The sequence below is a fragment of the Homo sapiens genome, chromosome 4, assembly GCF_000001405.40.
Source record: "Homo sapiens chromosome 4, GRCh38.p14 Primary Assembly".
Lineage (NCBI taxonomy): Eukaryota > Metazoa > Chordata > Mammalia > Primates > Hominidae > Homo > Homo sapiens.
Genome location: NC_000004.12, coordinates 6,016,614 through 6,031,789, shown reverse-complemented (window position 1 = coordinate 6,031,789; position 15,176 = coordinate 6,016,614). Strand labels below are relative to the sequence as shown.

Genomic DNA, 15,176 nt, shown 5'->3' with positions numbered 1-15,176 from the left:
CTGCCCAAGGTCACAGATCTGAGAGAATCATCTTTTTTTCTGTCTCCTTCGTGGAATCCATTCTGTTTGGCTGCCCCGTGATCATCCTGAAATCAAAAGCTCATCATTTCCCTGCTTAGAACCCGTCACTGGCTCCCCATGGCAACCCCAAAGCTGTGAGCACCTCATCGGGACATGGGCCATTCCAGACCCTCTGAGCTCTGTCCCCGACCCCCCACCAAAGGCCTCTTGGCCTCCTGCACATGCCGTTCCCTCTGCCTGGAATTCCTTTCCCCTCTTGTGCATCTGGTGAACTAACCCTGCTGGGTTCCACGTCTCCTCCAGCCCACGGCACGATACCTCACCCCTCCTCATGCCTCTTTATTTATTTATTGAGATGGAGTCTCTCTGTGTCACCCAGGCTGGAGTGCAATGGCGCGATCTCAGCTCACCGCAACCTCCACCTCCCAGGTTCAAGCAATTCTCCTGTCTCAGCCTCCCTACAGGAGCGCACCACCAAGCCCGGCTCATTTTTGTATTTTTAGTAGAGACATTTCACCATGTTGGTCAGGCTGGTCTTGAACTCCTGACCTCCGGTGATCCACCTGCCTCGGCCTCCAAAAGTGCTGGGATTACAGGCTTGAGCCACCGTGCCCAGCCCCTCTTGGTTTTCTTGATGGTGTTTGTATTCATCTGATGCCCCTTCTATTTATGTGTATGCTGCTATTGTCTGAACGGTAATTGAACTATAAGGGGAGGGACTTTGTCTTTCTCTCCAGGACTGGAACAGGCCCAGGCATATGGAGTCCTATTTACTGAGTGACTAAATGTGCCCACAGTGGTGGTTCTCAAAGCAGGGGCCCCGGACCGTCTGCGTCCTCATCACCTGGGAGCATGCTGGAGTGCAACTTTCACTCAGGTCCCACCCCAGCTGGGCTGAGGCAGAAGCTCTGTGGGCAGGGCCTGGCAATCTGCATTTGAGTAGGCTCTCTGGGTGATGCTGACACAGGCTGGAGAATCACTGCCCTACGGAATGTGAGATGGCTTCTCTGGGCCTGAATAAAGGCCTATGGTGACCCCATGTTTAATTTTTGCTGGCTGAAATCGTCCACCCTTCCGCCTCCCAGCATTGTCTCATTGTATGAGGTCTCTATCCCGTTCAGGGCAGACAAGGGCCAGCAGCCCGCTGGGCAGAGTTGCCCCAGGGGTACCCACCTTGGTGGGGCCCTTGATGGGGCGGAAGCCCTGTGAGCACATGAAGATCTGGAAACGGGGGAGTTCACCAGATTCCCTCGGTGGAGACGCTGTGTGGGATGGGAAGGAATGATCGGTAAACCACCCAGGGAATTAATTCTGCAGGTGCGGTGCCAAGGAGGGTAACTAAGAGTCTGGGTTTGCCCAGGACTGAGGGGTTTCCTGAGGCTCACACCAGGAAAGTCCTGGGCAAACCGGGTCTGTCGGTCACCCTGGTACCACGTGCTGAGTGGGGTTCTAAGAGGGCAGGGCGGATGCTGGTGCAGTGGCTCCCACCAGCATTGACCTCCTCTGCCCTTCTCCCTCCCTCCCCCCATCCCCCAGGCTGCAGTTAAACAAATCTTAGACAAGTACGTGATGTGGTGTCACATCCCACCCATGACCTTTATTAGCTGCTCAGGGTGCCTACATGTTTTGGTCCAGTCTCGATGTTTTGTTTTTAAAAGATCCCCTCTTAAGAATGTGTACTGTGTAATTCTATTTCCAGAAACTTCTAGAACAGGCACGATCCATTATTAGTGATAGAAGTCAGAACAGAATTCCTTTGCAGAGCTGGAATTGAGCCGGGGGACCAAGGCCTCCTGGGAGCTGGGATGCTCTCTGTCTTGCTTTGGGCGGTGGTGACATGGGCTTGTGCATGTATCAGAGCTCATCAGGCTGCCCACAGTGTTGGTATCCTTTACAGCTTCTGTGCTAGACCACAATAAAAAATAAAAACAGAGTTTTTAAACCTGGAAAACTTACTTTTTCTGACACGTAACCTGGTGTATTTCAGAGAATCCGAGAACTGGAGGACAAACTGGAGTTTCAGAAGCGGCACCTGAAAGAACTGGAGGAAAAGGTAGGTGACTGCAGCTCAGACTGTCCCCAGGTTTCTTTCCATGAAATGTTAGTGCGGAATCATTTTATTTCATAAGGTCCAAAGCATAGACTCTGTCTCCAGCCCTCCTTTCTCTGCCCTTCTTCCCCTAAATCAGCATCTCATGGAAATCGCTAGTTCCTCAAAATTCCTTTCTGGTAAAGGCATTTCCTTCTCAATGGCTGTCAAAAATTCTTCAGGCCGGGGCCAACTCTGTGTGTCTTTTTCACAAAAGACTTTCCCCTGAATCCCTCCCCTGCTGTCTCACTAGGAAAGAGGTGAAGCACATTAGCCCGATGAGGTCAGTGGCATCCCCCTAACCACAGACACAGGTTCTCCTCCATGGACTCATTCACTTTTTAAATACCTTCTATGAGCCCCAGACCAGTCGCATGTTCCTGGAAGACGCAGCCTCTCCCATCCCAGAAGACGTGAGGCTGGCCTCTCAATGGGCTTTGGGTATGTTCCACCAGCCCATTTACCATGATGCCCATTTTATGAGTGAGGAAAGTGAGGCAGAGATAGATTAGGACACCTGTCCATGGTCCCACAGCTAGGAAGGGATGGCTGGGTTCTCCATGGATGTCATAGCCATCCCATCCTGCCCCTCCATATGACATTGGTCCAGGCAGACACATGAGTCTGGCTCAGGACACACACAAAGCAGTTTTATCATGGTATTGCCCTTCATCTTCTTCCACCGGATGGCTGTGAGTCCTTGAGGACAGGGACCACGTGGTGTGCATCTCTTCATTCAAGACAGTTCTTGCCACAGGATAGGGTATCATCAAATGTTTGTGGATGAGTACGCAAATGATTCTAGATGAGTACAGAAAAACAATAATTGCCTATTTAATGTCACAGAGGTAAGTTCAAGTGTGGCAACAAGATGGAGAGCCGCTGAACCCATCCAGGAGGTCCGTGGCCGGCATGCCTGTGCTCGAAGAGGGGGTCCCACCTGAATCTCAAAGGACACTGTGGGATCAGCCCTGGGAAGAGGAGGTAGAAGGGGCATCTCTGGGCTTTATGTGTCTGAGGCCGGTCTTGTGAGAGAGGAAGCTGACTTATTTCAGGGACAAACCAGGGCAGAAATCTCTGGAAGGCAGATTCCAGGGCTGTCCAAAAATGGGATGACAGCCTTTCCAGTCCAGTAGGGAATCAAACCATGTGCCCAGAGAGATGGGACAGCACTTAAGATTCCACCTCCGTTTCAGATGCTTCCTCTCCCTTCTCTCATGACAGTCGGCTCCATGCAGATGAAATCACCTTCCCATCTCTGCTGGAGGTGTAGGGCCCTGCCGGGTCGCAAGTGGACCGAGGATCTGTGCGCAGGGGCGGGGGCAGGGCTTGCCTGCCAGTTCCCTTGTTGCTCTCATGGGAACCCCAGTTTTAGCTGATTCCTAGAGTCCCCGTCTGCCAGATGCCCACGCCTACCAGCCTCCCAAGGATATTCTGAGAACCCAAGGGGGTCTCAAGTATAATTGGATTTAAGAATTGCTTGAGGGATGAGCTGGTTTCGCAGATAGATGAGCCTGGGCTCTCCTCTGGCCTTGCCCAGGTAGGCCCAGAGAGCCTGGGAAATTCACCCCTCTGCCCCACGGAATTCACCCCTCTGCCTCAGGCCTTGGTGTTCTCATGTGCTGCTAGGAATGGTGCTCTGTCTCTGAGGGTGGATGTAGGGATAAAATGAGGTTGGGGATATGAAAGTTCGCAGCCCAGGGCCCAGGCAAGGCGTGTGGACTGGCAGCACCGGTTCTTCCCATCTCCCAGGTAGCTCTACCACTTGTGTTGGTAAAATGAGTCACAGAGCCAGATATGATAAAAGAAAGGCTTAAAACATGCCCAAGGTCATCCTTGCTGATTAAAATGTTAAAAGTCAGGTGGAATGAGCGCACACTTAAAATAACACTCACTATGTCCTCGGCAGTGAGAATACCTGGGAAATGTTGGAATCGTCTTTCTGGCTCTTTTTTCGACTCTTTTCTCAAAGCCTATGTTTGGGGACTGGTCTGTCTCCTTTTGCCACAGAAGGGAGTTGCGGAAGCTGGCATGCAGAGCAGGAGGAACTGGCCAGGATGGATGCCTGACGAGGCCTGTAGGGCTGGAAACCTTCCAAGATGCCTCATGCCACCTTCATTTCCTTACAGGCATCGGGGCCTGTGACCGTGGAAATAGCTCCAGCCACCACTATCCCTGGCCCCTTGGTCCCTTCGTCATTGCCAGAAACTCTTTCCTGCCACACCCCCACTGGATGGTCTTAACGAATCCTTCCCTCTTCCCAGGCCTCAGTTTCCCCATGTGGAAGATGAAGGGCTGGGTGACTTTCAAGGCCCCTTCTAGCTCTGACTTCCAATGATCCTACACCTCGTTTAGAAGTTGATGGCTGTTAGTTTGGACTTTTCCAATAAATAATATAGGGAGATATTACCTTGTTTTGGGGGGGAGAAGAACTCAAGGATTATTTTCAAAAGCCCCAGTTGATGTTCAGATATGTTTCCCCTAATGACTTGCAACTCCTTTTGAACAAAGCAAGTCCTGAGAAGGGTAAGAAAAAAATTCTACTTTTGAGTCGGTGTGTTTAATTTTTCCTCCCGTTAAGACCGTCTTTCCCTGATTTTTTTTTTCTCTGTATAAGTAGACTAATCAAATGGCACAAAAGATTTTAAATAGCGACTCTCTTGGAAGAAAGAACCCTGGTAAAGATGGTGTAGGGCTGGGGTGCCCAATCCTTTGACTTCCCTGGGCCACATTGGAAGAATTGTCTTGGGCCACACATAAATTACACTAACACTAACAATAGCTGGTGAGCTAAAAAAAAAAAAAAAAAAAAATGCAAAGAAATTCCATAATGTTTTAAGAAAGTTTACATTTGTGTCGGGCCACATTCAAAGCTGCCGTGGGCCACATGGGGCCTGTGGGTAGAGGGTTGGGCAAGCGTGGTGTAGGCAGAAGGGCTCTACTTGTCTGCAAGTTGGACTGGGTGACCTTGAGTGGAATTTACCCTGATCTTCGGTGCACACATCACGCCCCCGTCTCTTGGTGGGAGCCGCTGACCATGACCATCGGCTGGGCCTTCCTCTATTTATACCGGCCTGCCCAAGTTCTGCATGAAGGCCACATCACAGCACCAAAAAGTCCTGTCCCGGTCCAGAGTGTCAATCTCCCCTGAATGAGTTAGCTGCATGTTTGGAGAGTGGGTCGGGATAACCCACCCTGAGTGTGGAAGACCCCAGGATGCGTTTCCCAGGGGAGATCACTTCCTAAAGCCTGTTTACTTCCCATTTCTCTTTCCGAACCCAACAACTCAGTGTCCTAGTTCTTGTAAAATGCTGTCATTGAGTTCCATACTACATATCTTACATCTGTTTTCTTTTCTTTTTCTTCTCTTTTCCTCATTTTCTTTTGGTATTATTTTATAGTTTTTGTTCCTTTTTTTGTTTTTCTCACTAGCATTCATTCTGTGGCCTTGATGACTTCAGTGAGCCAAGAACTCGGGTTGGTATCCTTTCCTTTTCGCAGATGAAAATGATGATTTTCTAAAACAGGAGGAGTCCTCCCAGTCCCTGACTGTCAAGTTCCTTGAGAGATGAGGCACCGTGGAAGGTGGCCTTGTGCTGGATGCTTTAACTCATGGGTCTGGGTCATGGGGGGAGACCCGCCCTGAGGAGGGGGATCAGGGACGCTCACTGTGAATAAGAAACTCCTCTGTGGAGTTTCATCCACAAAGGGGGACTGTGTTTTATTCCAAAGGTTCTCTCCAGTCTGGCTTCAGTCCCTGGTGCTCTCTGTTGCTGTGTGGACCAGTAAGTCCTCTGTAGGGTCCAGGGTCTTTGGCTTCCAGGGCCGAGGGCTACAGGAGCAGGAGGTTGCTGGAGAAACGGCTCCTGAGCCTAGACTACCACTTACGTGCAAAGTGCCCAGGGAGCCTGTGTAAGAAGCCACTCAGCTCCCTCCCCGTCACACCCCTGTCCTGTGCTGGGTTTTGACTCCTGTGCCATGCTCAGGGACCTCTGGAACAAGGCCATGTCAGCGTCTGGTCCTCCTCTGACCACTGAGCCCTGTGTGTCCCCAGGACCCAGCTCCCACCTTAGACACCTGGACACTTGCACATTCTCCCTGAGAGTGACCATTTCAGAGCAGGGGGCTGCCAGGACCCCTAGACTCTAGAGTTCTGTCTTTGAATCCAGCCCAGGCTGAGGGCCCCCTGGATTCTGGGGATGCCTGCAGCACCCACTAGCTACCTGGACCCCTTAGGCTGAGCTCCCAGGCCAGGGCCCTGCCTGATGTCCTCATAGGCGTCCCTGAGGCTGACCCCAGTCCACAAGGGCTTTGGTCTGGTACCTTCTGTACCCAAGTGTCTGGGACAGTGCTGGACACATGGTCGATATTCATTCAATGTTTATGGACTGAGTAAAGGAAGGATCTCAGGTCTTAGAGGACAGCTGACACTCAGTCCCATCTGAGCAGAGGTGGGGGTGGCCACAGGGGTGGGTGGGTGTTGGGGGATGGGGGATCTGATCCTGCTGCTGCTGCTTCTCCTGGATTGTGGGGGGAAGGTCCCTCAGGGCTCAGCTGGGGTGTTTATGACAGCAGTGGGGGCAAGGGGCAGATAAAGCCAAGGGATCCTCCGGCCATTTTAACCCTTGGTTCCTGTGTCATTTCAAATTATGTTTTAATCTTACAGGATAGAAAAAGAATTTATGGAATAAACTGAGTCCCTACGGCAACCCCAACCCCACTCAAACCAAATTCAACAGCGAAACAAGCTACTCAAAGTCCAGAGACTGCAAACAGAATTTATGTATATTTGACAATAGCTTTAAGGGGAAGCCTTTGGACGCACGGCTGGGTCCTGGCCAGCCCAAGCCGTAAGGACTCTGCAGGGACGATGGGGATTTTGTCAAACTTGGAACCACATCCATGTCCCAGCTCTGGCACTTTGAAGGCCCAAGGGGGCAGAGACCTGAATGCCAGGAAACTAAGTGCAATTACCAGAAACCAAGGGATCGGCAGCCACCGCACTGTCTGGGGACAGGCCCGAGTCCTCGTCCCCACGCCAGATGCCTCCCCAGTCCGCAGTGTGCATGTCCAGCTGGACCCGGCTGGGTGCCGTCTCTGCCCTATGTACATAAATCTCCACGAACCGTGCTGTGTTCGTCCTGGAGTTTGTCTGCCGGAGCGACTTGCAAGTGTCCTTGTAATGTGAACCCCAGTTCAAGTCCTGGTCAGCAAAACCTCTGAATCTGTGCACAGCTGGATGTAGCAGCTGGCAGCCAGAGAGAGAGGGCAGGACCCTGATGAGTGGCTGGAGCCTTGCCCATCATGGAGAAGCCGACCTCAGGGACCCCAGATTTCTGAAGGGAGGCCGAGGGCTCTGTCACTCTTGTAGGTGTGACACGGCAAAAGTCCCAGAGCATGACTGTCCCTGGGACCAGGTGGACTGAGGACTGATAGAGCAGACATGACCACCAACCAGGCCACACTTGGGCCTGCGTTGCACCTTGATCGTAATTTGCAAGGGGCTGCCGAGGAAGAGATGCTGAAGCACCTGCAGGAACTAGGTTATTTCCATAGTGGTCCCGAGACCAGGTCCTGCTCTCACCACCGCGGGGAGGAAGTGAGATCTTCCTGCCTTGGGAGGCCACCCCTGGATGGAGCTGGGAGAGCTGTCAGGGTGTTGGAGGCCTCGCTGGAGAGTGGGTGGAGTGGAGCAGCCACAGAGAGCTGGACGCCAGCTGGGGATGGTCAGCCCAGGAGGAAATTCCCCAAGTTCCTTTCTGATGATGTTCCTGTTGTTATTCTAGGCTGGGTGGGGTGGAGGCATCTCCAGAAGAAGCCACCTGCTCACAGGATGCCTCTCCCAAACTTCTGCGCGGGAAGACGTTTGGAATTAGAATGGATGAAGTGAAATAGAAGACTGAATGTGACGAGGAGGCTGGCTGTGTCTGCATGGGAAGAGCCGGCTGAAGGCCAGGCCGGGCCATCCTCAGCTGGCTGCAGGTGGACGGGCTCAGGCCCTGCTCATCAGGTAGAAGGAACGGTTCTGTGGTCTCTGGTGAGGAGGACCTTTGGACAAAAGGGAAAGGACTGAAATGTAGGCAGTTGAGGGAACTCATGGGGTGAGGGCAACAGAGGAGCTAGAAGTTCTCAGAAGGCCAGATCCATGGATGGAGAAGGACACGGTGCCCTGCACAGAAGGGGCCCTGCCAGCCAGGGAGGGCTGCTCACACCACATCCCAGGATCCATCTCTAAGCAGACATGCACCGGGATGGCCCAGTATTACCCATTCTCTTTTGAAATCAAAACCCCAAAGCACCCACTGGCTCAGCCTCTGTGACTTACCAACACCTGGTGATGAAATATGAACAAACTGATGTCGGTTGAAAACACAGGCATCTTAGCAGCCCAGGGGCGATGGGAGTGTGGGGTCGCACAGTGAGTGAAAACAAAGGCACGCTTACTCTTTCCGGCCGGGAAGCACAGGAGGCGTCGCTGTGCTCGCTTCTGCGGGCAGAAGTCTAGGGGCACCCATGGGTCTCTGGAATGTCGGTCCAGCACCCTTGCAGCCGCTGCAGGAGTGCGGTCCTCATACCTGCTTGTCCCCGTCCTTCAGCGGGTGAAGGGCAGTGTCTGTGTCTGCTGGGCTCTCCCACTCAGATCATGCGACCAAAATGGCCTTGGCTTTGAGGTCAGACCCATTTGTCCCTGCCAGCCCGGCCTCTTCCTGCTGTATTGCACTGGCAATGTCCTTGCCGCTCTGAGGAATGGTAGTGATAGTTCCCATGTGTGGCCTTGGGAGAGGTCTGAGCTGGACGGTTAGACCCGCAGGCTCCCACAGGCCACCGTGGCTGCTGGTGGGAGACATAGCATCTGCTGTTCTCTCCTTGGGAGCTGTCCTCGGAGGAGTCCATGTGGCCGGCCCGGGCCCAGGACCCGTTCTCTTTTGCCCTCCGGGAGGCGGCGCAGGAGGAAGCATGAGGCTCACACTGGCAGGTACGGGGGTTTCCCTGCATAGAAATCCAAAGTCCCTGTTAGGAACCAGCATTTCTTGTCACAGTCCCAGCCGTGGCTTCCCGGCTCCCTGCTAGGCACAGTCCTGGTTGCAAGGACCCCAGTATGCAGGGAGCCTCAGAGCTGTGCTGCACCCCGGTGCACTCACCCCTCATCCACAGCCCTGTGCCCAGGTCAGGCACATCTGCCACGGCTTTGGATGTTGTTGCCTAGTAACACATATGTGGTTTCCAGGGCAGCAGAGTTACAAAGTCTGGGGAACCCCAGGTCACTTCCTCAGGTAGAAAGGAGAAGTGTGGCTCCACCCTTTAGCGCAGCCCTGCCCACAGGTCAGCTGGGAGGTTTAGCAGAGAGCCAGCCCTGAATGTTCCTGGCACAGAGATGTCCGTGGTACAAACATAGGTTTCCACTTCTCTCTCTTACACCTCAATCCTCTGTAGGCCAAAGGCAACCAGGGAGGAGCTGGGGCGTAGAAGTCGAGGGATCAGACAGCGTTCTGTCCCGCCACTCTGGCAGCCTCCTGGGGGCTGAGGAGTGGAGGCCGGGGCTGGGGCCAGGAGATCGGCTGTGCAGGGATAAGCCAGGCTGATTTGTCCAGGACAGCGGGGATTCCGGGAACAGAGGACTTCCTGTTTTAAAATGGAGGAGGCTCTGGGCAAACTGGGAGGGCGTTCCCCCATGGGTGCAAGGCTTTTCTCGCTGAACCCCACTTCCCTTCCAGGTCTCCAGCTGGTCGCAGGTGTTTTGGCTGAAGCACGCAGTGCCTGTGCCGAGCACCTTAGGTGAAATGGGCTTTGTGCTTCACACGGATGCCCCGAGAGTCAGCTCACGCTCAAGGGTGTGAGATCCTATGCAGCCTGCCCCCAGTTTGGTGCTGGGCCCTGAGGGGAGGGGAGGAATACAAACATGTGGGCGGGTGGACCCCTTCCCTGGTCAGGGGCAAGGCTTACCCTGGCTGGTTGTACCCCCCACTTCAGCTCCAGCTTCCCCATCCTTCCCAAGTAAATTCAACATCTGCCCCCATCCGCTGCTCCTCTATCTGCCGGGAGCATCCAGGACTGTGGCCCCTGCTTCTCCCTCACCTGCCATAACCCCTCTGTAACCAGTAGCAATCCTGCCTGATACTCCCAGGACAAACAATGGCCAGTTTGATATTTGGTTATGTTCTCACATTTAAACAGGGTTTGCCAGGGATGTGCCAAATTGGGTGGGAAATAGCGAATGTGCCATTGGGGGGTCCTTTTCCCCCCAGCCCAGTTGTCTGGACTCTTGGGGCTTTCTGTAGGGCCCTTCTCTATGCCCCAGATTCCCGCTCTGAAGTAGGGTGGAGCCCAGGTCTTCACACGGCCAGACCTCCCTCCGTTCCTCCCAGCCTCCCCCCAGCTCTCAGGGGCTGTTGTTCCAGCAGAAACGGGGACTCTTAATTTCTTCCATGGCCTGTGTCCTCCCTGTCACCACCCTCAGTCTCAGGGAACCTCCCTGAGGATCCCAAGGGGGCAGAACCCCATCCTTACATCTGCACATCAATCTGTCCCCTTCTCCTGCCCAGGCCCTACCACTTCTGAGGGGCCTGCAGGCTCAGATCTCCACCCCAGGCTACCACAGATGTTGGTAAACCATGGGCAGGCCACGATTTTCTCTGTTTGACCTTCTTCTTCCCCCAAGAGCCTCCGTCACTTACCTAAAAAGCCTGAGAACACTTCCCCAGGAGAGGCCCTGCCTGCTTCCCTGTCCTTAGGCAAGAAGGAAGGACGTGCCCTCCCTCAGGGCTGCTCCCAAGGAAGGGCTGGAACAGCTCCTCCTCCTTGGTGGCCCTGGGGTAATTTTTCAGTCTGTTGCTATTGCCTTCAGCTGTCACTCAGTCCTCCCACTCTGCACTGGCTCCTCTTGGCTGATGTTCCTGGGAGCTCACGGTGCGGTGCAGGTACAGGACCAGCCACCACCCCCCACCACCGCCCCAGAGCTCAGTCAGTCATCACCACAGTGGGGAGCGGGGACTGCTGTCAGTTTCATTTTGCAAGGGGCCGAGTCATTTTCCTAGGATCATGCGGCAAGTAGGCGTGAAAACTGGACACAGCTGGACAGTGTTGCGTCTGCCCCCTACCCAGCAGACAGCATGCTGTATTTAGTGTGTGCCAGGTGCTCTGCTGAGGGCTTTGCAGGAATCGACTCATTTATTCCTCAACAGCTCTTCACTTAGGCATGATCTTTACCCTCTTTTTTTTGAGAAGTTAAGTAATTTGTCCAAAATCACATCTGAGAAGCGATGGAGACAGGCCTGGAACCCAGGCAGCCTGGCCCCAGCGCCTGGGATCTGAGTGGCTCCACTGCACCCCCATCCCCCGCCTCCAACTGCCCCAGGTCCACGGAAACCCCTTGTGGCCAACAAGACATTGGCCACTGTTGGGAAAATATGATTAAAGACAAAAGCTTCTCCCAGCACAGAAAACCTCATCACAAAGAAAATTTAAAAAAGGTTTATTATTGAATAAGCATTAAACCAAGATATGAGGTGCATTACAGGTAACCCACTGAGAGATTGCAAAGACAGTAAGAAGTTTCACCCTTTTATATGGCCAGGCAGGCACAATCCATGCACACATCCTCTCTCATCCCTGCGGAAAAGGACTCGATAGCGTCATTGTTTCACATGGTTCATCCTAAACTCACCTGACAACGAGGGCAACCCTCTGTGTTCATTAATTTGTTTTATACAAAGGAAAAAAAAGCTTCTCCTGCACCTGGGTTCCACCCTTCTGTCACTTACTGTGACAGGTTTTGCATCTCGGAGCCAGGCGCCTGCCCAATTCGGCTCCTTCCTCCCACTGAACACTAGGGGCGCTGTTTTCCTTCGAATTTACATCTCAAAGAGGCGGTGCCCAGGTCCTTCAGGGAAACATTCCTGAGTCGTAATGCTGGAAAAGGCTTATTTCGCTGTAAAAAGGATTTACACATATTTCAAAGAGACAAAGAAAGAACTTACACATTTTCTAAAGTAGATGCTTTAAGAAAAGGGAGGGAGGACGTCTCTTATTTTTAACAGGGAGACGGAAGCCTCTCATTTTCTATTTGTCTTGGTCCTGACGCCTCTTTGCACCAGGCCTGGCCTGTGGCGCTGCCTCCTCCTACAGGTGCAGCTGCCTCCATCTCGCTCCTGCAAACCCCAGAGTGCTCGATCCTCAAAATGACATTTGACCAGGCACCTCCCTTCTCCCAGGGGCCCACAGAAACGCCGGAGTCCTTGAGTGCCTGAGAGAAGATGGCACCCAGCCTCCTCTGTCCTCACTCCTCACTTCCTCCTTCTGTGTGTCCACGGGGCCAGCTTTGTCTGGTCCTCCTGTTCCCTTCACTTGTCCTGCCTGTCTGTGCGGGTCTGTGGCCTGAGGATGCTCCCCACCTGGGGGAGTCTCCTCCCCACCTCTCTCTGCTGTAATTCCCCATTCCTCCTACGATCTCTTCAGCCTCATGCTCGCTCCCCCTCCTCAGGGTGCCCAAAGGATGCGTTTGCTCCTTTTCTGGGGTCTTGTTGCTCACCTATTACTGTATCTCCTGTGTCAGAACACACACACTCCAGTTTGGGAGTCAGATCCATATTTGAATCCTGATTCTGCTACTTCCCATCCCACCTGTGGGACCCGGATAAGCTCCTTCACCTTCCAGAGCCTCCGTCTGACCATCTGTATAATGGTCATGTTAACGCCCACCTCATAAGGTCACCGGGAGAATTGGACTAGGTAAGGCATGAGAGGCCCCTGCCCTGGATGCAGACGGCACCCAGGGCAGCATAAATTTCCCATCCTCTTCCCCTAGCAAACTCTAGGTCCTTGAAAAATATGTGCTGTGCTCAAAGAGGAGGTGTGGAACCTTATTCATTATGTGGTAAAAAGATAAGCTTCATTGACTACTGGGAGTCTGTAACATCTGATGGCCTTACCTGGAGGTCTTATTTTTCCTCTCTGTGTTCATCACTAGGCATTTCATCTCAAGTGATTTTTCTGCAACTTTTTCTTGCTTTGCGTGAGTTCTGGCATGCTGACTTGTAAAACGAGAGGCTTTCATTCATATTGTATGACGCTTGTGCAGATGAAACCCAAGTCACCCACTCATGAATAATCCACCTGTTCTTGCCCTTCTCAAAGGATATTTTCCTGAACAATCTGAAGTCACAAACACCACCTTGAAATCTCCGGGAAGTCAATGTTGCAAACTCACTTAATTTTATTATTAAGTCTTGCCCCATGAAATATTTCTGAGATGGAGCCAACAGCCAAGGGACGGACTGAGGAGAGTTTCAGCTACGTCATCAGAGCCCCCAGCAGTGAGGGGTTCGACATAATGAACGTTGATGTGAAGATTGACACATCCTGGATATTCCAGGACATGGAAGATAGTGCTGAGGAGCGGGAATGTCTTCAGGAAGAAGCAGCTGGCCGCCCAGACATGGATATGGGTGCGCTCAGGAGGCAGCTGGAGTCCTCCGAGCAGAAGCTGTCAGCAGCAGAGGACAAGTACGTGACATCGGAGTCCGGGCTGAGAAGCAGGTAGCGATGCCATTTTGATCTCTCTGTGTGTATTTCACAAACCGCGGGGCCATCAGAGTGTGTCACCATGGTGTGTTGAATCACACCACACAGCTGGGGAAACTGGCTCACCAAAGACACGTAACCTGCCCACGCAGTCACTTGCCTTCTGCTCCTCCCGCCCTCCTTCTTCTGCTCTGTACCTGCAGATGAGGCTGCCCGGGCTCCTCTGCTCAAAGGCTTCCATTTAGGTGCAGCCAATGGGAGGCCCTGAAACGGAGGGAGGCAGGGAGAAGCCAGGTGTTCTCCCTCTCTTCTTCTCTGGGTGACTGTTCCATGAAAGGGCCCTATGTTCAAAGTGACAGGGAAGTGTAGAAGGAACTGAGAAACCAAGGACAGAGGCAGACAAATCCAGTTGGTCGGTTTGGGGTGATTTTTTTAGGGGAACTGGCAGACAGAAGCATGGTTTTAGGCAGCCGCCAGACAAGTAGATGTCCACACAGCAAACCTTCCATCCCCAACCCAGGGCTTATATCCTGGGGAAAAAGCATGTGTGCTCTGGAAGGCTTGCATAGGTGGCTACAGGCATCACAGCCTATGGTTTCTGCAATGACAAGGGTTGTTTTGGAGGAAACTCACAATGAATAGGTGTTTCTACGTAAACAGAACTATATCAACTCCACATCTTGGAGGCATTCGTGGACTCAGGGTTAGTCAAGAGTCACCTGCTGGATTAGCGTTTAAAATAAAGTCACTCTTGTTCCCACAGTGACATCTCCCACTGTGGCTGTAACTCAGATGTGCTCTCGGCTTCCTCTGCGGTCCCAGCTCCCGCTGGGTGGCCTGGCTGCTCTGCCCTGCCCTGGTAACATCGTCTCTTCCCTGTGTGGCTGTCCAGCCCCAGGGGCAGAAGTGGCTTCCGGCAGTTGCTAATCCAGGCTGCCTGTCTCTGTCTGGCCTTTGGACTCTGCTGTCATCTTTGAAATAGGTTCTCCGCATTCGTTTCTCTCTGTAGAACTTCCTGCTGTGGGCACTGTTTGCCTGATGGAGCTGACCTGGCCTCAAGGTGGGGCGTTTGAATCCAGGTCTTTCTCTAAAGCCCATCTTCTTTCCTGACGATGTCTTGACACCCAGACTGGCAGAACGAGGTTGGGCCTTGTATATAGATCAGCGAAACCCAGCATGGAAGCACAATGCAGTGACAGCGGGGATTGATTCTGACACGTTACTCATATCCCAGCAGCCACGTGCCTTGGATTTTTGCGGGACTTCCCCATTTTCTTGTACTTGCCTTTGATTTAGTAAAGGCAGACCATTGAACGTGTATGCACATGTGATTTACTTTTCTTCCTTTTGGTAAAGTTTTATGCATGAAGAAATTCACAAATCAGAAAAATTCTTCTGTTACTCTATGTGATTGCCCATTCTTTCATTCATTCTGCAACGCACTTACCCTCCGAGAGTCATATACAAAGTTATGTTAGTTTGCCTGGGTTGCCATGACAAAGCACAGTAAGTCCTCACTGAACGTTGTCTATAGGCCCTTGGAAAC

The 15,176-nt window shown here is 52.6% G+C and overlaps 2 protein-coding genes across 8 annotated transcripts in view; both read left to right on the top strand.

Annotated features, from left to right (window-relative positions):
• JAKMIP1 (janus kinase and microtubule interacting protein 1) overlaps positions 1-5,591 on the top strand; it is a 174,351-nt gene extending 168,760 nt beyond the window's left edge. Inside the window, exons 20-21 of the mRNA NM_001099433.2 lie at positions 2,009-2,074; positions 5,512-5,591. Coding sequence (NP_001092903.1) covers positions 2,009-2,074; positions 5,512-5,562 — 117 coding nt within the window. The 3' untranslated portion in view covers positions 5,563-5,591. The remainder of the gene's footprint in view (positions 1-2,008; positions 2,075-5,511) is intronic.
• A 7,652-nt stretch (positions 5,592-13,243) lies between these two features.
• Positions 13,244-15,176, top strand: part of C4orf50 (chromosome 4 open reading frame 50) — a 120,960-nt gene continuing 119,027 nt past the window's right edge. For 6 of the 7 annotated variants that reach the window (XM_017008893.2, XM_047415667.1, XM_047415663.1 and 3 more), the window contains exon 1: positions 13,244-13,645. In XM_017008893.2, coding sequence (XP_016864382.1) covers positions 13,359-13,645 — 287 coding nt within the window. In that variant the 5' untranslated portion in view covers positions 13,244-13,358. The remainder of the gene's footprint in view (positions 13,646-15,176) is intronic. The other variant, NM_001364689.3, reaches the window with a different exon arrangement.